General features: G+C 47.4%; 3 protein-coding genes across 9 annotated transcripts in view, besides 4 other annotated features; 1 reads left to right on the top strand and 2 right to left on the bottom strand.

Moving 5' to 3' along the window:
- Positions 1–19312, bottom strand: part of ACOT1 (acyl-CoA thioesterase 1) — a 52864-nt gene extending 33552 nt beyond the window's left edge. The window contains exons 1-2 of the mRNA XM_017021590.2: positions 16922–19312; positions 15916–16092 (exon numbers count right to left, since the gene is read on the bottom strand). Of these exons, the coding sequence (XP_016877079.1) occupies positions 15916–15941 (26 nt within the window). The 5' untranslated portion in view covers positions 15942–16092; positions 16922–19312. The remainder of the gene's footprint in view (positions 1–15915; positions 16093–16921) is intronic.
- Positions 1–20490, top strand: part of HEATR4 (HEAT repeat containing 4) — a 155331-nt gene that overhangs the window by 123570 nt on the left and 11271 nt on the right. For 4 of the 7 annotated variants that reach the window (XM_047431370.1, NM_203309.2, NM_001220484.1 and 1 more), the window contains 10 exons: positions 772–933; positions 1951–2111; positions 3674–3778; positions 7232–7350; positions 9515–9695; positions 11105–11174; positions 11901–12090; positions 13566–13644; positions 14858–15017; positions 17121–17179. In XM_047431370.1, coding sequence (XP_047287326.1) covers positions 772–933; positions 1951–2111; positions 3674–3778; positions 7232–7350; positions 9515–9695; positions 11105–11174; positions 11901–12090; positions 13566–13644; positions 14858–15017; positions 17121–17179 — 1286 coding nt within the window. Of the gene's footprint in view, positions 1–771; positions 934–1950; positions 2167–3673; positions 3838–7231; positions 7351–9514; positions 9696–11104; positions 11206–11900; positions 12091–13565; positions 13645–14857; positions 15018–17120; positions 17180–20490 lie in introns of those variants that run through there. The other 3 variants (XR_002957552.2, XM_024449582.2, XM_011536761.4) reach the window with 3 other exon arrangements.
- RIOX1 (ribosomal oxygenase 1) lies at positions 16851–19312 on the bottom strand. The gene has a single exon (NM_024644.5). It carries the CDS (start codon positions 19225–19227, stop codon positions 17302–17304), a length of 1926 nt encoding a protein of 641 aa, NP_078920.2. The 5' UTR covers positions 19228–19312; the 3' UTR covers positions 16851–17301.
- Positions 17847–18347: an enhancer, noted in NCBI's record as "H3K4me1 hESC enhancer chr14:73958602-73959102 (GRCh37/hg19 assembly coordinates)". NCBI's record gives its function as "activates a minimal SCP1, AML or CMV promoter by ChIP-STARR-seq in naive H9 embryonic stem cells {active_cell/tissue: H9 hESC(naive)}" and the evidence as "EXISTENCE:reporter gene assay evidence [ECO:0000049][PMID:30033119]".
- Positions 18696–18985: a silencer, noted in NCBI's record as "silent region_5911". NCBI's record gives its function as "represses an Ori minimal core promoter by ATAC-STARR-seq in GM12878 lymphoblastoid cells {active_cell/tissue: GM12878}" and the evidence as "EXISTENCE:reporter gene assay evidence [ECO:0000049][PMID:35858748]".
- Positions 19327–20232: an enhancer, noted in NCBI's record as "H3K27ac-H3K4me1 hESC enhancer chr14:73956718-73957623 (GRCh37/hg19 assembly coordinates)". NCBI's record gives its function as "activates a minimal SCP1, AML or CMV promoter by ChIP-STARR-seq in primed H9 embryonic stem cells {active_cell/tissue: H9 hESC(primed)}" and the evidence as "EXISTENCE:reporter gene assay evidence [ECO:0000049][PMID:30033119]".
- Positions 19536–19645: an enhancer, noted in NCBI's record as "active region_8700". NCBI's record gives its function as "activates an Ori minimal core promoter by ATAC-STARR-seq in GM12878 lymphoblastoid cells {active_cell/tissue: GM12878}" and the evidence as "EXISTENCE:reporter gene assay evidence [ECO:0000049][PMID:35858748]".

Raw genomic sequence — 20490 nt, 5'->3', positions numbered from 1 at the left:
GGTTGAAAGATAACAAGATAATGTAAAAACACTATATTATAAAGCACTACCTAAATATAATTGTTCTTACAAATATAAAGGCTCAGCTGGGGGCGGTGGCACACGTCTGTAATCCCAGCACTTTGGGAGGCTGAGGCAGGTGGATCACAAGGTCAGGAGATCGAGACCATCCTGGCTAACACGGTGAAATCCCATCTCTACTAAGAATACTAAAAATTAGCTGGGTGCCTGTAGTCCCAGCTACTCGGGAGGCTGAGGCAGGAGAATGGTGTGAACCCAGGAGGCGGAGCTTGCAGTGAGCTGAGATCACACCACTGCACTCCAGCCCAGGTGACAGAACAAGACTCCGTCTCAAAAAATATATAAAATAAATAAATATATATATATATATATATATATATATATATATATATATATATATATATATATATATGGGCTCATGGGGCAAATTGGTTGCTTTTAATCACTAAAACTAATGGTGTAGTTCACTGTAGCCTAGCTGGAAACATTCTTCTTCGGCTTAAATATAGCTGTTTAGAGGCCAGATGATAAAGGATTGGGAATTGGCATACCAGCACACAGGTGAGCTTTAACACCTTGAGCAGAAAATCCTGCCCATCTGAAGGGCTCAGCTAAACTGTAATTATATTACATAGCACTAAGCAACTGCAGCTGGGACTGAGGTTGGCCACCACATGGCTGTAGGAAGGAAGCTGTGTGTGAGAAAAGCAAAGGGGCTAGTACTCTCTTACCTGGCTCTTTTGATCACAGACAAGACCATCCAGGACTTGCCGGAGGTTCTACTGCCTGCCCTAGAGGCTGCTCTTTGTGACAAGAATGCCCATGTGCGGATGGCAGCAGCAATATGCCAATATGCCATACAGTCACATAATCCCCTTGCCCGGAACATCATGCAGACTGCCCTTCTGAAGGGTGAGTAACTCCCTGTTACTTCTGACCTGGAAATATGGGATAGACATCTCACTATCAGCTTTCCCAGTCCTTTCCTCTCCACTGTGATGCTCTGCAATGTCTGCTGTATTGGGTTTAGATTTATGTTAGACCATTTGAAAATTAGGACCAGACACTGTCGCTCACACCTGTAATCCCAGCACTTTGGGAGGCCAAGGCGACAGGATCACCTGAGCATAGGAGTTCTAAACCAGCCTGGGCAACATAACAAGACCCCATCTCTATAAAAAATTTTAAAATTAGCCAGGTGCGGTGGTGTGCTCCTGTAGACCCAGCTACCTAGGAGGCTGAGGCAGACCTATATATACATGCTTATCAGAGTCAGCTTGAGCCCAGGGGGTTGAAGCTGCAATAAGCCACAATGGTGCCACTGTACTCCAACCTGGGTGACAGAGCAAGACCCTGTCTCTAAAAAAAAGGAAAAAAAGAAAATTTGCTCTTTCTAGGTACTTTAACAAAACAGGTACACTGCCACCAAGTGGTAGCTGGACTAAATTTTTTTTTTTTTTTTTTTTTTTTTTGAGACAGAGTTTCACTCTCGTTGCCCAGGCTGGAGTGCAATGGTGGGATCTCAGCTCACACTGCAACCTCCGCCTCCTGGGTTCAAGCAATTCTCCTGCCTCGGCTTCCCAAGTAGCTGGGATTACAGGCGCATGCCACCACGCCTGGCTGATTTTTGTATTTTTAGTAGAGATGGGGTTTTACCATGTTGGCCAGGCTGGTCTTGAACTCCTGACCTTAGGTGATCCGCCCACCTTGGCCTCCCAAAATGTGAGGACTACAGGTGTTAGCCACCGTGCCCAGCCAATATGATTCTTCTCAATATGGTTTAAATAAGAAATTGTATTTCTAGACTGAGTGGGGCACAAGGAAGTGAGATATCAGGTGGGGTAGCAGCCTTGGGTATCAATCCAAAGGCTGTTCTCTAGGGGGAAAACACATCACCATTCTGAACTCTTTTTCACCCAACTGTGGCAGGTAACAGTGTGGATAGCTGGGCTGCAGCTCAGTGCTTGGCTCTGGAAGGTACTGCTACTTACCCTGTGATTAAGAGGATCCTCCACCAGCTGTTTACAAAGAAGAATGAGGACACTGAGGAACAGTCTTATATCCTCCTGAGCTATCTGAGTGAGAAGACAGTATGTGTCCATTACCGGGTCAGACACAGTTTTGGGGAGCAATTAGGTCTTTGAGGTCAGTGAATGTAAGCAATCTGAAATGCAGCTGGGGCCGGGGCAGTGGCTTATGCCTGTAATCCCAACACTTCGGGAGGCCGAGGCAGGTGGATCACTTGAGGTCAGGAGTTCGAGACCAGACTGGCCAACATGGGTGAAACCTCATCTCTACTAAAAATAAAAAAATTAGACAGGTGCAGTGGTACCACACTGAGTAGTCCCAGCTACTCGGGAGGCTGAGGCATGAAAATCACTTCAGCCTGGGAGGTGAAGGTTGCAGTGAGCTGAGATCACGCCACTACACTCCAGCCTAGGTGACAGAGCAAGACTCTGTCTCAAACAAATAAAATAAAATGCAGCTGGGCTGGGCATGGTCGCTCACGCCTGTAATCCCAGCACTTTGGGAGGCTGAGGTGGGAGTATCCCTTGAGTCCAGGATTTCAAGACCAGCCTGGGCAATATAGTGAGACCCTGTCTCTACAAAAAAAGAAATAAAATTAGTCAGGCATGGTGGTATGTGCCTGTAATCCTAGCTACTCAAGAGGCTGAGGTGGGAGGATCACTTGAGCCTGGCAGGTTGGGGCTGCAGCGAGCTGAGATCACACCACTGTACTCCAGCCTGAGCGACAGAGCAAGACCCTGCCTCAAAAAATTAATTACACAATTAATTAATTAGATAAAATGCAGCCGGTTGGGTTGACAATCTCAAGCATAAGTAAACGTAGAATAAGCATGAGTAAACCTGGGTGTAGAGGTGTATACAAAGGGAAGTCACAATAGTTAGCTGAGAGAAAAGTGAGAATTAGGTTGCAAATGGTCTCTATTTGCATATGCAAGAAGAGTTCTGACATGTAGAATTTGCTTCTGCTAGAAGTTTACCATTGAAAACTGCAGAGGCCTATATTTGTGTTTAGTTACTTTCAATAGAAATGTGAAAGTCATAAGCTTGAGGCATATAAAAATCATTTTAGGGGTAAAAACAGTTAAAGACAGAAGGCCGGGCACGGTGGCTCACGCCTGTAATCCCAGCACTTTGGGAGGCCGAGGCAGGCAGATCACCTGAGGTCAGGAATTCAAGACCAGCCTGGCACCAACATGGTAAAACCCCGCCTCTACTAAAAATACAAAAATTAACCGGGCGTGGTGGCAGGCGCCTGTAATCCCAGCTACTTGGGAGGCTGAGGCAACAGAATCACTTGAACCCGAGAGGCGGAGGTTGCAGTGAGCCGAGATTGTGCCACTGCACTCCAGCCTGGGGGACAACCTTCTCAGAAAAAAAAAAAAAAAAAAAAACAGTTAAAGTCAGGAAAGGAAGGTCCCAGTTTTCTGTTTAAGTTATTAAATTTGTATTTTGTTCCCCAATTTATGATCCCAGAGTCAGTTGGCTGTGATGGAAACATGCCCCATCTCTTGTAAGCCCACTGGTGACATTAATTATGCAGGATGCCATTTCAGAATGTAACTTCAAGGTTCTAGTATCTCTAAAAGTGATTGTGAATATCCATACAAGTCTTCCATTTCCTCAGACCCTGATACACACCATGCTTGCTGTGGAGCTGAACAGCTGTCAATGGAAGAACCGGATTGTGGCCTGCCAGGCTTTCTCCCGGATCAGTGGAAATGTCTGCTTGGTAAACCTCTTTCTTTGCCTCCAGGACAGAAAGCCTAAGAGAGGCTGAGCTACAGAGGCCTTCTACTTTTTGCTGCTATGTATTATTCCATTCTTACCAAACAGATCTCTGTTCCCACATCACTACTTCTTACTTCTAGCCCAGAATTATCTTCAAATGCTAATATGTCTGTCTGGAAGCCAATGCTTCTCAGTGCACTGGTGGTCCATAAACTGTTGGTAACTGATCCACAATGAAATAGCACAAAAACTGACAGGAGTTTAGAAACGTTTATAGTAGGCCGGGTGCGGTGGCTCACATCTGTAATCCCAGCACTTGGGGAGGCCAAGGCAGGCGGATCACGAGGTCAGGAGTTGGAGACCAGCCTGACCAACATGGTGAAACTCCATCTCTACTAAAAATACAAAAATTAGCAGAGTGTGGTGGCACGCGCCTATAATCCCTGCTACTTGGGAGGCTGAGGCAGGAGAATCGCTTGAACCCAGGAGGCAGAGGTTGCAGTGAACCAAGATCTCACCACTGCTCTCTAGCCTGGGTGACAGAGGGAGACTCCATCTCAAAAAAAAAAAAAAAAAAGAAACGTTTATAGTAATTTGATATTGCCTCAATATCAACAGACTTTATCAGTCAATGACATATTTCCCCCCCGCCAAAATTGGTTCTTCATCAAAGATCATTCGAGAAGCACTGACTTAGACTACCCAAAAACCCATCTAAATGAGTGTCTGTGCTGCTTCTCAGAGTGTTCGGCACACACATATAAAACATAGTCCCGGCCGGGCACGGTGGCTCACACCTGTAATGCCAGCACTTTGGGAGGCCAAGGCAGGTGGATCAGAGCTCAGGAGTTTCAGACCAGCCTGGCCAACATAGTGAAATCCTATCTGTACTAAAATACAAAAATTAGCCAGGTGTGGTGGCTGGCACCTGTAATCCTAGCTACTTGGAAGGCTGAGGCACAAGAATTGCTTGAACCTGGGAGGGAGAGGTTGCAGTGAGCCGAGATCGCACCACTGCACTCCAGCCTGGGCGACAGTGCGAGACTCTGTCTCAAAAAACAAAACAAAAAAAAACAAAACAAAAAAACCATTGTCCCAACTTTCACAAAATTAACACTATGGTAGGAACAATAAGACTAATATACACAAATGATTCAAGAACAAGCAATAAATATAAGGTACCCTTTTAAAACTTTTCAGAGAGAGAGAGATTAGTGTGGGTTAAATTTATTGGTTAAAGTTCTGTGAAGGGGTCCGGTACGGTGGCTCATGCCTGTAAGCCCAGCACCTTGGGAGGCTGAGGCGGGTGGATCACTTGAGACCAGGAGGTTGAAACCAGCCTGGTCATCATGGCAAAACCCCATCTCTAATTAGCTGGGCATGGTGGCACACACCTGTCATCCCAGCTACTTGGAGGCTGAGGCAGGAGAATCGCTTAAACCTGGGAGGCGGCGGTTTCAGTGAGCCAAGATCGTGCCACTGCACTCCAGCCTGGGCGACAGAGCGAGACTCCATCTAAAAAAAAAAACAAACCAACTGTCGGTGAAGATGGTGGGGCTCAGCTAGAACTAAAGAGGGAATTCCAGGCAACACTTCGTTTTTGCCATTATTTCCCAATCATCTTCAGCTGTCCAAATGGGAGCTTTCCCTTCTTCCTATGTGCTACTTCATCTTTTCCTTATAACTTTGGATATCTCCAGAATAGCCCAGAACATTGCCATTCCCATGATAAGTGAACAACCTCCACTCTGTAACCCTGACATTTTGATATGGGAAGCACAAAATCTGGCCACTCAGTACAGTAATCACCTGAAAAGGTTTTGGACTTGGGTTAGTTCTGTCTCAAGTGCTATAGCACCCTGCTGCTAAAGTCCTGGACCAGCAGCACAGGCGTCACCTAGGAGCATTATTAGAAATGCAAAAATCGGCCGGGCACAGTGGCTCGCACCTGTAATCCCAGCACTTTGGGAGGCCAAGGAGGGCGGATCACGAGGTCAGGAGATCGAGACCATCCTGGCTAACACGGTGAAACCCTGTCTCTACTAAAAATAAAAAAAATTAGGCGGGTGTGGTGGCAGGCACCTGTAGTCCCAGCTCCTCGGGAGGCTGAGGCAGGAGAATGGCGTGATCCCAGGAGGTGGAGGTTGCAGTGAGTTGAGATCGCACCACTGCGCCCCAGCCTGGGCAACAGAGCGAGGCTCCGTCTCAAAAAAAAAAAAAAAATTAGCCAGGCTTGGTGGCACATGCCCATAATCCCAGCTACTCAGGAGGCTCAGGCAGGAGAGTCACTTGAACCCAGGAGGCGGAGGTTGCAGTGAGCCGAGATCGTGCCATTGCACTCCAGCCTGGGCAACAAGAGTGAAACTCCGTCTCAAAAAAAAAAAAAAAAAAGAAATGCAAAAATCTCATCTTAAGCCAGCTCAATCAGAATCTGCATCTTAACAATATCATTTTAACAACTTCCAATTCATTTGTACCTTCACCTCCTTGGCACTTGTCACTTAGAATTGACAACTGAAAGTAAAAAGACATGCAGAGCTAGCAGGGGTTGAGGTAAAGATGATGAGGACTTCATGGCAGATTGCTGGAGCTAAGAAAGGCAGTATGTCTATGAGTCTTTTCACTCATTCAGTAAGCATGCAGTTTCTGACCACATCCGACGCACTAGGCACTATGCTACCCCTGGGGGTGCAGGGATAAGTCTTCCGTTAGTAAATGTTACAAATAGCTAGAACAGAAGCAGCTATAAGGTGTTGTGGGGATTTCCTGTGCTTACAAGGGGCAAAGAAGACTTCACTAAGGAGATGTTTTTATTTTATTTTTTAAAATTTTTAATAAAAGAGATAGGAAGGAGATGCTTTTGAGGTAAATCCTAAAGGAAGACTACAAAGACATCAAGTACCAGGTAGGAGTAGAGAAGGGAGATACTTCTAGCAGGAAGAACAGCGTGGGCACATTTACACATCATCGTGTAGTAATCTTTGCCCATTCCTCTCTGAGAGAAGTGCACTTATAGAGTGACCAACTGTTCTGGTTTGTCCAGGCCATGGGACTTTCAGGACCAAAACCAGGAGAGTCCCAGGCAAACTGCAATGAGCTAGTCACTTCATCAAGTATCACTTTCAAATTTTAAGTCTCCCAGGTACAAGTTATGTTGGCACTGATACTACATAGTTTAAAGGATGAGCTTGGGAGAGTTGGGTTTGAGTCCTGGTTCCAGCACTCACCAGGTTAACCTTGGACAAGCTGATCAAAGCCTCCATTCTATCATCTGTAAATGGTAGTAATATCTGCCCCACTGGATTCTTTGGGAGAGTAAGCGATGGGAAAAAACACTCAGGACAATCCTCATTAGTACAGTGATGAGTAAAAAAAGAAGAAAAAACAGCACAACGCCAAGCACAAAATTAACATTCATTAAGTGATGATACCTAATGATCATACCTATTTATAGGATATGAAACATAAGTTGATCCAGCTGATGTGGAATGACTGGAATAAGGAAGTGAGGAGAGCAGCTGCACAGGCGCTTGGGCAAATGAGCCTCGGGAAAGAGGTGCACGACATAATCAGGTAAGACCCAGTCAACATGAGGAGACACTCTTCTAAATTCTTAGAAGTGTTTAGGAGGCAGGCTGGGCAAGGTGGCTCCCAACACTTTGGGAAGACGGGGTGGGCGGATCACGAGGTCAGGAGATCGAGACCATCCTGGCTAACACAGTAAAACCCTGTCTTTACTAAAAATACAAAAAATTAGCCAGGCGTGGTGGCACATGCCTGTCATCCCAGCTACTCGGGAGGCTGAGACAGGAGAATCGCTTGAACCTGGGAGGCGGAGGTTGCAGTGAGCAGAGATCGCGCCACTGCACTCCAGCCTGGCAACAGAGCAAGACTCCGTCTCAAAAAAAAAAAGTGCTTAGGAGGCCTGGGATCCAGCCACCCAGCATTTGTTGAGCTCCTCTGTACGGACCCTGGACCAGGTCCCACTGTAAAAAATTAACAGTCCCTACAAACTAACAATGTGGCTAGGGAAAGAAGCATTGAGTGCCCAGTAGGTGTGAGGCAATGGTTTCGGTGCTGGAGGGTGTTCAAAAGTATGACGCAATTCTGATGACCACATGCAAAATATACAAACACCTAATTAAAAATACCAAATCATTAAAAACTAGAACAAATGGCATATACCATAACTGCTGGAGCAGAAAAATGGAATACTCAGCGTGGCTAGAGGAGTAAGGCCAAGTTTCACAGAGGGTGGATAAGACTGCACAGGAGGCCCAGCCCAGTGGCACACGCCTGTAATCCCAATACTTTGAGACTCTGAAGCAGGAGGATCAATTGAGCCCAGGAGTTCGAGACCAGCCTGGGCAACATAGCAAGACCTTGCCTCTACTAAAAATTAAAAAAAAAAAAAAAAAAAATTGGCCGGGCGCAGTGGCTCACTCCTGTAATCCCAGCACTTTGGGAGGCCGAGGCGGGTGGATCACAAGGTCAGGAGATCGAGACCATCCTGACTAACATGGTGAAACCCTGTCTCTACTAAAAATACAAAAGGGCGTGGTGGCGGGCGCCTGTAGTCCCAGCTATTCGGGAGGCTGAGGCAGGAGAATGGCGTGAACCTGGGAGTTGGAGCTTGCAGTGAGCGGAGATCACGCCACTGTACTCCAGCCTGGGCGACAGAGTGAGACTCCGTCTCAAAAATAATAATAATAAAATAAAATAAAAAGTTAGCCAGTGTGGTGGTGTATGCCTGTAGTCCCAGCTACTTGGGAGGCTGAGGCAAGAGGACTGCCTGGGTCCAGGAAGTCCAAAGCTGTCATGAGCCATCATCATGCCACTGCATTCCAGCCTGGGCAACAGAGAAAGACCCTATCTCAAAAAAAAAAAAAAAAAAAAAAGAGAGAGAGACTGCATAGGAGCCGCAGAGTGGGTAAGTGCCTATAATCCCAGCTACTCAGGCTGAGGCAGGAGAATCACTTGAGGTCAGGAGTTCAAGACCAGCCTGGGCAACATAGCAAGACCCCATCTCTAAAAATAATTTAAGGCCGGGCGCGGTGGCTCATGCCTGTAATCCCAGCACTTTGGGAGGCCGAGGCGGGCAGATCACGAGGTCAGGAGATCAAGACCATCCTGGCTAACATAGTGAAACCCCATCTCTACTAAAAATACAAGAAAAACAAAATTAGCCAGGCGTGGTGGTGGGCGCCTATAGTCCCAACTACTCAGGAGGCTGAGGCAGGAGAATGGCGTGAACCCAGGAGGCGGCGCTTGCAGTAAGCCAAGATCCAGCCACTGCACTCCAGCCTGGGCAACAGAGCGAGACTCCATCTCAAAAAAATAATAAAATAAATAAAAATAATTTAAACAAACAAACAAAAAGACTGCATAGGCATTCCAGGCTGGAAGCCAAATGCAGACATAATCATGGCACACGTGAGGGCAATGGAGAAGAGAACTTGACTGTGAAAAGAGGTGCAAGTTGACATTTTCCTTTATTCAGTCATTCAGTGTAACTGAAAGCCCTGCATTACCTAATTACTGAACAGCTATGTATTAGGGATTCAAGTAAAGAAGACAATCGAGCTCTGTACCCAGTAAAACTTATCTCATGAGCATAAGGCTGAATGGGATTGACAGCCTACAGAACCCGGATTTTATCATGAGGGCATTAGTGGGGGTTGGGGGTTAGGTACTGAAAGTTTAAGGAGGTGAAAGGAAAGCAACTTGTGCCTTACAGGGTCAAGCTAGGTCAAGGAAATTCCCAGGAGCGTGTGGAAGCTCTCTACCTGATAGGTGAGCTCAAGCTTATGACCGCCAAGCTTCTCCCAAGCTTCCTGCACTGCTTCTCTGATGACTTCACAGCAGTTCGGCGGGCAGCCTGTTTGGCAGCTGGTGCCCTGCAGATCCGCGACAAGATGGTGAGTCAGGGAAACATATTCTCATCTTACCTGATTGACCTGAAGAGGGCATTACCTTCCCTGGTTGTGCACAGTATGCTCAACATTCTGTGGGGACACAGAATGAGAGATTGGAACTGGGAAGGGGGTGTATAAGCCACTTCAAACAGGACTGTTTCAGGGGCATCCAATCTTTTGGCTTCCCTGGGCCACAATGGAAGAATTGTCTTGGGCCACATATAAAGTACACTAACACTAACGATAGTTGATGAGCTAAAAAAAAAAAAAAAAGGTCCGTGCATAATTCTCATGGTTTTTTTGTTTGTTTGTTTGTTTGTTTTGAGACGGAGTCTCGCTCTGTGACCCAAGCTGGAGTGCAGTGGCGCCATCTCGGCTCACTGCAAGCTCCGCCTCCCAGGTTCACGCCATTCTCCTGCCTCAGCCTCCTGTGTAGCTGGGACTACAGGCACCTGCCACCACACCTGGCTAATTTTTTTGTGTTTTTAGTAAAGATGGGGTTTCACCGTGTTAGCCAGGATGGTCTCGATGTCCTGACTTCGTGATCCGCCCGCCTCGGCCTCCCAAAGTGCTGGGATTACAGGCGTGAGCCACCGCGCCTGGCATAAATCTCATGTTTTAAGAAAGTTTACAAATTTGTGTTGGGCCGCATTCCAAGTTGTCCTAGGCCACATGTTGGACAAGCTTGGTTTAGCTCCCAGCCAGCCCAGACTTCGATTCTAGAGCACACCCCTGAATCCTGTTCTCACCTCAGTTAACTAGCTTCTCATTACCTGGGTGCTGATGGGCTTTAGGATCAACTCCCATAAATGGAGTTATAATTCCATTATTAGGGAAAAATCTGTTTGAAGTGTTCAAGAGAAGCCATATGGCCCCAGATCTGTAGACTGAGAAAATCAATAGCAGATAATTCAGCTAATGTACTCACTATGCATATAGGTTGGTACTTTAGGCTCCAGCTCATTTGTCACCAGAATTGATAGGTCATTTTTCAATTATAGCTCCTTTTAGAGATAAGTGGTTTCCCTGTTTCTGATTCATTCTTTTGCTTTGTTTTGTTTTTTTGCTTTTTTGAGATGGAGACTCGCTCTGTCACCCAGGCTGGAGTACAGTGGCACGATCTCAGCTCACTACAACCTCCGCCTCCCAGGTCCAAGCAATTCTCCTACCTCAGCCTCCGAGTAGCTGGGATTACAGGCGTGTGACACCATGCCCGGCTAATTTTTGTATTTTTAGTAGAGACAGGGTTTCACCATGTTGGCCAGGCTGGTCTCAAACTCCTGATGTCAAGTGATCCGCCCACCTTGGCATCCCAAAATGCTGGGATTACAGGGGTGCACCACCGCACCCAGCTGTTTCTGGTTCATTCTTGCTCTGGTCCTCCCCACTCAACACTGCCTTTTCCATCCCAGGTGCTTGAATGCCTCCTGAACCTGATGCAGAGAGATCCTTACTGGAAAATCAAGGCCTTTGCCATTCGAGGTATTATAGAAGTAGTGCCCCAAACTCTTCAACCTTAAATACCTTTGCCTATGCAAGTAGAAATGATCCCCTGAAACTCTCTAATGGGGTGAAGTGCAGGAGAGGTAATGATCTTAGCTTTTCAGAAGTTCCTTGTCTGAAAAGAGAAAGATAATTTTCTTCAATTTTTAGTGAAAGATCCTGAGTCTAGGTATATGTCAAACTTAAGTTAAAGAAAGGGCTGACAAGACAGTCCCTGCCAACAGAATTAAGGATAAGTTCCAAGTAGGTATCCAGTGCTGGATGCATCTTGCTTTCCTTGGAGATCTCAACTATTACGCTCTGCAAAAGTCAGATCAGTTTCAAGACTGCTACAGACCTAAAACCCTGCCCCTTAATCTGCCTAGTTTCTTTTTAGAATCTTTGGCATTGCTTCTCTTTTTGACATAGATAAATAATTGTGCCTCCTTTCCCCATCACCCTGCTGGGACTAGGCAGGTCTTCCATGTTATTTGTTCTATATTTCATCCCAAAATAGGCAAATATCCTAACAGGCAAGGATGGGATGGAACATCCCTCTTCTAGGAATCCTTTGGAGGTAATGTCCCATTCTGACCTATCCCTAAAATTCTAATGGTGATTACCATCCAAAAGGGAAGGTATTGTTTGCAAAACTCAATTTATTTCTGGATGCTAGAATATAGTAAGCTCAGTCTTCAGTGACATGCTGCCCTCTAATCTCTGCAGCTTTGGGACAGATTGGGCAAGTAAGTCCCGAGCTGACGGATCTTCTGCTCTGGGCTATCCACTATGAAGAGTCACCAGGTGTACGGCTGGAAGCTTGCCGTAGCATCCTAGCCCTGAAACTTCAAGGGGACCGGGTCAGGGACACCTTCCTAGACGTGCTGCTCCTGGAGAACCACGATGCTGTTCTAAAGTAAGCACTAAACCTCTGGCTCCCACCATGACCTTATACTGCCAACTCTCACATCTTTGCTCATTGAATATGTCCCTGCCTTTCCAGGCTACCTAATGGCAGTAAAAGCACTGGTTCACCTGCACATTCACCACTCACCCAAGTAGGTAACTGAAAAACTGGCCTAAATTAGATTGAAAGTCAAGCTTATGTAGTTCATGCATCTTTTCTCCCCACCAGGATGGGTTTTGGCCGGGTGTGATGACTCACGCCTGTAATCCCAGCACTTTGGGAGGCTGAGGCAGGAGGATCACCTGAGGTCGGGAGTTTGAGACCAGCCTGACCAAAATGGAGAAACCCTGTCTCTACTAAAAATACAAAATTAGCCAGGCATGGTGGCACATGCCTGTAATCCCAGCTACTAGGGAGGCTGAGGCAGGAGAATCACTTGAACCTGGGAAGTGGAGGTTGCGGTGAGCCGAGATGGTGCCATTGCACTCCAGCCTGGGCAACAAGAGCAAAACTCCGTCTCAAAAAAAAAAAGGATGGGTTTTAAGTTATTCATATATTCAACTAACATTTATCAAATGCCTATTGGGACAACAAGTTTTAGAGTCAAAAAGACCAGGGTTTGAATTCCAGCTCTGGCATGCAATAGCTATGTGAGCCCGTGTAAGGTATTTAAACTCTGTGAGCCCATTTTTTTCATGTATCAAATGCAGGTGATAGTCTACATTATAGGGTTGTGGTGATAATTAATGAGATGACATGTTTAGCGCCTGTCATAAAGGTGTTCAGTAAATGGTACCTATTGGCACCTTCAAATATATTGTCTTGGCCAGATGAGGTGGCTCACATCTGTAATCCCAACACTTTGGGAGGCTGAGGCAGATGGATCACCTGAGGTCAGGAGTTCTAGACCAGCCTGGCCAACATGGTGAAACCTGTCTCTACTAAAAATACAAAAATTAGACGGGCATGGCCGGGTGCAGTGGCTCACACCTGTAGCCCCAACACTTTGGGAGGCCAAGGCGGGTGGATCACCTGAGGTCAGGAGTTCTAGACCAGCCTGGCCAACATGGTGAAACCCCATCTCTACTAAAAATACAAAAACTAGCTGGGCATGATGGCACGCGCCTGTAGTCCCAGCAACTCAGGAGGCTGAGGCAGGAGAATCGCTTGAACCTGGGAGGTGGAGGTTGCAGTGAGCCGAGACGAGATCGTGCCATTGCACTCCAGCTCTGGGAAACAGAGCAAGACTCCATCTCGCAAAAACAAAAAGTAAACAAAAAACCCACAAATATATTGTCTCAAAAACTGCACATTATTCCTGTAAGCTAAGCATTATACCATTTTTGCATATAAGGCTCAGCAAAACTGCACAGTTAGGATTGGAACTTGGGATTCTTACCTGATTCCAAGTCCTATATTTTCTACCCCCATACTTTTTTAAAGGGCAGGGTAGAATAATCTAAGAAGCCCTTCTTATCTTTCAGAGAAATGTACCAGACAATGAAGATACTCAACTTAGGAAATGAAGGAAACCAAGAAATGCTTCAGGAGATCAAGAACAGGGTAAATAAGTGCAAGCTCTGTTCTCAAGAGAAAATTCAGGACTCTCAAGAGTTCCTCAGACCCTGTCCTCCTCAAACATGTACATACCCTTTTTCCCACCATAGAAGTACTTTCTAAAACCCCAGACACAGATGCCACATCATTTGAAGATGCAAAGCATCTGTGCAAGATTGGGTTACAAGGTCCTACTAGTAAAGACAAAAACAAAACAAAAATCCTATTAGTCCTATCAAGTAACCCTCATTGTTTCAGAAATACTATTTCCCTCCCTTCCTATTTTCTCCCCATCAACCCCAAACCCAAGTTGTTTATTTTTCCTTTTTTTCAAATAGGCATAGAGAAGGAATAAGGGACTAGAGCTGGCCCCCTAGATTTTCTTCTTAATTTTTCTGAATTCCTAATCTGGGTTTTCTCACCAAAGAAAATCTCTAGCTGAAAGGATTAACATAATTTTTGCTTTTTTTTTTGAGGGGGGGACAGTCTCGCTCTGTCGCCCAGGCTGGAGTGCAGTGGTGTGATCTTGGCTCACTGCAACCTCCACCTCCTGGGTTCAAGTGATTCTCGTGCCTCAGCCACCAAAATAGCTGGGATTATAGGCATGTGCCACCACACCCAACTAATTTTTTTGTATTTTTAGTGGAGACAAGGTTTTGCTATGTTGGCCAGGCTGGTCTTGAACTCCTGGCCTCAAGTGATCCACCCGCCTCAGCCTCCCAAAGTGCTGGGATTACAGGCATGAGCCATCATGCCTGGCCTGGATTGTTCTAATTTTTCAAAGCTGTTAGATAAGATGAAGGAATAGAGGGGAAAGGACTTTAAAAAGGTAATTCAAGAAACCAACTTCACATCAAGCAAGCAATTCTTAGCAGGTTCATCATGCCCAAAAAGCTGAAGTAAAATTTTCACGAACAGGTATAAAAAATCTCCAACCAATATCATAAGAGAACAATGTTCTCAGGCACTTATGTACCACCTACTACTGATAAGCATATGCAATTAGTTACTTCTTTATTTTCTAGAGACAGGGTCTCACTTTGTTGCCCAGGCTGGAGTGCAGTGGCATGATCACAGCTCACTGTAGCCTTGAACTGTTGGGCTCAAGTGATCCTCCCTCCTCAGCCTCCTACAATCACTTTATTAATGTTTTTTGATAATTTGCTGCCTAGTACAGGTGTTTTGTTTTGTTTTTCAAACATTATTTGTTCTAATTTAGATTAAAACACTAAGCCAAAAGGACTTGCTGACACACAAAATACTCAAGCTGGAGATGGTCATGGGAAAAGTGAGGGAGGAAGCAAAACGTGTTTACTTGAAACCCAAAGGAGAACAAGGACCACTAACACTCCAGACTTTACTCCAAGAAACTTTTCAGGGTAGGTTTCCTAGGGGTGAGTTCCATGCCTTGATTCCTTTAATAAGCCTCTTCCAGGATCTGGATGTTTTGGGACTTAGTAGCAAGCCTTAGAGGATGAAAGAGTCAGGAAAGGGTACTCTCTTCCCTCTTGGCTACCATCCACTCAGTCTTTGTGTTTTTTTTTTGTTTGTTTGTTTCTCGGGTTTTTATTCATTTATTTTCTCCCTTAAAAAAAAGTTATCTCTATTTGAACTGACTTAAAAGTTAGGTCAAAAAAGGACATATCAGAAAAACACAAGTCTTTATAAAACAATACTACCATGTATGTTTGACTAAGCACTCAAAAAAGCTTTATGAGCTTAACCTTAATAGTGGTAGTGGTTGGTGGTTGGGCGTGGTGGCGCACACCTGGACTCTCAGTGCTTTGGGAGGCCATGGTGGGAGGATCACCCCAGGCCAGGAGTTCAAAACCAGTCTGGGCAACATAGCAAGACCCCTCCATCTCTACAAAAAAATAAATAAATAAAAATTATCTGGGTGTGGTGGCACACACTGGTAGTCCTATCTACTAAGGAGGCTGAGATGGGAGGATTGCTTGAGCCCAGGAGGTTGAGGCTGCAGTAACCCAATATCTCACCACTGTACCCCAGCCTGGGCAACAAAGTGGGACCCTGTCTCAAACAAAAAAACAAACAAACAAAAAATAGTGCTTGTCTCTGGAAAGTGGGGTTGGAGGGAGAACTATCATTTTTACTTAGTGTATGTCTATGCTTTTGTAACTTTTTTAAAAAGAATTTGTAAAGTTCTCAACCTTAAATAACAGAAAACTATCCATTATGGTGACAGACTCTTAAGAGTCCCAGACGCAACCTAAATGATGAGGGTGCAGAAATCAAACTGTACCAAAATATACTTACAAAATCTGTGTGCCTGAGCGTAGCATCAGCCTCAGGTCACTCAGCCAGCTGCCTACCAGCTACCACCCCAAACCCAGGTCTTCTGGTTCCAAGTCCAGTGCTCTTTCTGGTACATCAGGCACTTTTCCACCAACCATGAGAATATTCACTTGTCAGATTTGGGGAAGTTTCTTCGAACTGCCAGAATAAAAATGAGAGTGGAAAGTAACTTGAACAGTAGCCTTCCTTCATGGCCAGCTTGCTAAAAGTTGGTTGCCTAAGGTCTATGAAGGCACAACTAGGTGACATGCTGCCCTTATGACAGCAGTGCCAGCCATGGATGTAAGCAAACAGTGAGCAAAAACATACCATGATCTTAAAACTGAACAAGCTGGTAGAAAATAATTTTTCTACTAGAATTGGGTTGCATAATTAAATAGCATAAATTATCCCCAAAGTTAGTGAACTGGTCCCAATCAGATAAGATTCTTTTTTGTTTTTGTTTTTGTTTTTGAGACGGAGTCTCGCTCTGTTGCCCAGGCTGGAATGCAGTGGCATGATCTCAGCTCACTGCAACCTCCACCTCCCAGGTTCAAGTGATCCTCCTGCCTCAGCCCCCCTAGTAGCTGGGATTACAGGCACGCACCACTATGCCTGGCTAATTTTTGTATTCTCACTAGAGATGGGGTTTTGCCATGTTGGCCAGGCTGGTCTCAAACTGCTGACCTCAGGTGATCCACCCGCCTCGGCCTCCTAAAGTGCTAGGATTACAGGCATGAGTACCGCACCCAGCCTGAGAGTCTCTTCCTTAAGAGGTTGATTAACATGCTCCTTTTACATGCTACAACCACCCCAGGTTGCTTTTCACTTCAGCCATTATAGATTTTCCCTATCTTCCTCCCGCTCCTGCATTTCTTCGAACCATCCCACATAATAATCTAGCCTTAGGAAAGGGAAACATTCTTTGGCACTTTAATAACTTTTCTAAGGTTCATACAAATTTAACAATAACAAACAGGATACTGACCCCGACCCGCCCATGAAAAAGAACTCAGATGAAAGATCCAAATTCCAAAAAAAATCTAATATCTGTCTCAAGCAGAACGACATGGTCAGTGTTACCCAGTACACTGAAGCCTGAAGGTGATGAAGTTGGTGCTCTGAAATGATCACGGATCAAGGGTTTTTTTTCCACCTCCAACTTCTCCTTTTCCTTTTGTACCTAGATGAGATGGTTCTTCCTAGAAGACCTTCCGAGGTTTGTGACACTGAAGCAGTGATAAAGGTAAATGTGAGCACACTGATGCTTATCAAGGTAAGAACGTGAGTTTAAGGAAAAAAAAAAAAAAAAGGTAGCAGTGGCAGCGGAGAATCACTACTGCCTTGTTTCCAGCAATCAACAAGAAACTAATTTAGGGCTAGAGGCATCTTAGTGAGCAGCAGCCCCTTATCATACAACGTGGTTGCCAAGGACAGCTGGTCCTCCACACTGTCACAGGGCAGGTCCCCCACTCTCACAAACTCTGGATAAGAACCAAGCAACAGTTCCATGGCATCAGCTTGCTGGGGGTATATTTCCAAGCACTTGGGTTCTTCCAGATGATACACACGGGAGTTTTCCACTGTGTAATAGAGAAACAAATGGCCCCCCTCACCCACCAGCCGAGCTATCCCATCCTGAAGCATATGGACTTCTGTTTCTGTTGTCAACTGGGCCCCCACGTTTACAGGTTCTCCAGCCTCCCAGCGAATTGGAAGCCCGTAAACACTTAGTGCCCTCTCCCTATCAGTCAAAACAGGGGGCAGAGAATCGTGAATGAAGTCTTTGGCTCGCTGGTCGGCCACAGCATCAACAGGAGCAAAGTGTCCCAGGCGGGCAACCAAGACCCGCACCTTCTCCATGAAAGCGGTTCTTCGCGGATCCTTAGAATCTGAATGCTGGGCCCCCATGTAATCCATGAAGTCTCGGGGCAGACCCCTCCGAAACTCCACATTTTCTTCCATTGCAGCCTGCACTGCCAGAGGCAGTATGGCCTCTAAGAAGTCACCCCAGGTATTGCGCTGGTACGTGGACAAGGTGAGGTGCAGAGAGTGGACTCCATCCTGGCATTCAGCTTGGTGAATGAAGCCCCGAGGAAAATACAGCAAATCTCCAGGTTCCAGCACGGTCTGCAGCACCGGCTCACCGAGGTCGTCCTGACTGAAGTTGGGGCTGGATGTCAGAGCCAGTTCCTCGGTTGGGACTCGGGGTCGGTATACACGCCAGAGTTTCCTACCTTCCAGCTGCAGCACGAAGGCCTCGATGTCGTCGTAGTGGGGGGCAAAGCCCTGCGAGTTAGGGGGCGTGAGGTAAACGTTGGAGCCTGCCATGCTTCCAAACTGCTCTTGAAGCACAGCCAAAAACTGCCACACAGTAGTAGAGAAAGCCTGCGGACAGAGGAGACGCAGGGAGCAGCCGGCCTGGTACAGGGACCACGCGGCGGCGGGCAGCGCGCGGCCGGGTGGGTTCAGGGTCTCGCGTCGTCCGTTGATGTAGCGAGCGGCGTCCAAATGCTGGCCGAACTGCACCTCCTCGTTGCGCAGCATCGAATCCAGGTCAGCGGTAGAGAAAAGTCCCTGGTAGTAGGTGTGGTCCTGCCGCCGCACCAGCACCGCCTCGCGCTCCCATAGGCGCCGGTAAAAGTGATCTGGCGGCATGGGCGCGATGAGCCACTCAAAGAGGCGGGCCGCTCGCCGCCGGCTGCTGGGGATGCGGTTCAGCTCGGCCAAGACGCGCCGCAGCGGGGAGTCCCAGGCCGGCTCCCCACCCGTGTTATCCACCTGCGGCCCCGACGCCGTCGCAGGGGCCCCGGACGACTGGACGGCCGCTAAGTGTTGCGCGGTGCACAGCAGGGCCGAGGTCTCCACCACCCGGACCGGCGCGGCGGGCACCTCCACCAGGCGCGCGGGCGGCGCGGAAGCGGGCACCAGGCGCGCCGACGGGGTCTGCAGGGAGCGCGCGGCGGGCGAGGCCTCCAGCAGCTCTGCGGGCCCCAGGTGGCCGTATGGCTCTCGCCGGGCTGCGTCCGGGACGGCCGCCACCGCCGCCCCACCGGGTAGCGCGTCCCCCAGGTCGTCGGCCGTCGACTCCACCCTCGATTCCTCCGAGTTCTCGCTAGGCAGCGTCTGCGTCCTCAGCGCTGCCATGCGGGATACAACACTTCGCAGCTGCTTTCGTATCTTCCTGGACCTCAAGGGCAGGGCCAGGACCGACCCGCTGTGTGGCTGGGGCTTGCGCCGGCGCTTCGGCCGCCCGCGCCTCAACGGCCCTGCACTGGCCTGGAGCCCATCCATGGCCAGACCACACCAGTCTTCCCCGCCCGGCCGGCCGGGGGCGAAGCTAAAGCGGTTCCTGAATGCAGCGGCTGCGGTGCACTCTGGGAAGGGGGCGCGGCCTCCAGCCACCTCGGGGTTGGCCACGCCCATCATTCTTCTATTCGGCCCCTCCCGCTCTCTTTCATTAAATGTTTGGCTTCAAGCTGTAGCGGCAGCGGCAAGAACCCTTGCCAAACAAACAAGGAATCTACACTCAGAGAGCAATTTAAAAATCAAGTTGCGGCCAAGCGCGGTGGTTCACGACTGTAATCCTAGCACTTTCGGAGGCCGAGGTGTGTGGATCACCTGAGGTCAGGAGTTCGAGACCAGCCTGACCAGTATGGTGAAACCCCGTCTGTACTAAAACTACAAAAATTGGCCGGGCGCGGTGGCTCCGCCTGTAATCCCAGCACTTTGGGAGGCCGAGGCGGGCGGATCACGAGGTCAGGAGATCGAGACCATCCTGGCTAACACGGTGAAACCCCGTCTCTACTAAAAAAGAAAAATACAAAAAACTAGCCGGACGTGGTGCTGGGCGCCTGTAGTCCCGGCTACTCGGGAGGCTGAGGCAGGAGGATGGCGTGAACCCGGGAGGCAGAGCTTGCAGTGAGCCGAGATGGCGCCACTGCACTCCAGCCTGGGCGACAGAGCGAGACTCCGCCTCAAAAAAATAAAAATAAATAATAATTTAAAAATTACAAAAATTAGCCAGGTGTGGTGACTTGCACCTGTAGTCCCAGCTACTCGGGAGGCTGAGACAGGAGAATTGCTTGAACTCGGGAGGTGGAGGTTGCAGTGAGCCGAGATCGTACCATTGCACTCCAGCCTGGGCGACAGAGTGAGACTCTTGTCTCAAAAAACAAGAAGAAGCACAAAATCAAGTTACTAGAGACTCCCCAGGAGAAATGGCTACTTGACTGTTTTTTCCTTCTAGTCTCTGCACATTGCAGTGTTCCTTGGATGTCCTCATTTCTAAACAGGATGTTCCACCGGCAGGTTCCCACCAAAAAGTGCAGAATTCTTCTTTTCAAGGAATGCCCCCAGGCAGTTTGAGTTCCGCAGAAACTTCTGCTCTGCAGATGAATTCACTGATTGAAGCCTTATCTAGGAGTTCCTCCACCTAACTTCTCTCCCTCTTTTCTCCAATACAAATTCTCAAATTCATTGTCCTCTCTCTGAAAAATAAGTTAAGAATTTCTCTACTTGCATTCTTGATATCTGCCCTTCCTGCCCCTCTGGGAT

This window comes from Homo sapiens, chromosome 14, assembly GCF_000001405.40.
Source record: "Homo sapiens chromosome 14, GRCh38.p14 Primary Assembly".
Classification (NCBI taxonomy): Eukaryota; Metazoa; Chordata; class Mammalia; order Primates; family Hominidae; genus Homo; species Homo sapiens.
This window is presented reverse-complemented; position numbering and strand designations above follow the sequence as displayed.

Excerpts from the sequence above, each read along its gene's own strand:
- RIOX1 (NM_024644.5), bottom strand. The coding sequence starts at position 19,227 with ATGGATGGGCTCCAGGCCAGTGCAGGGCCGTTGAGGCGCGGGCGGCCG.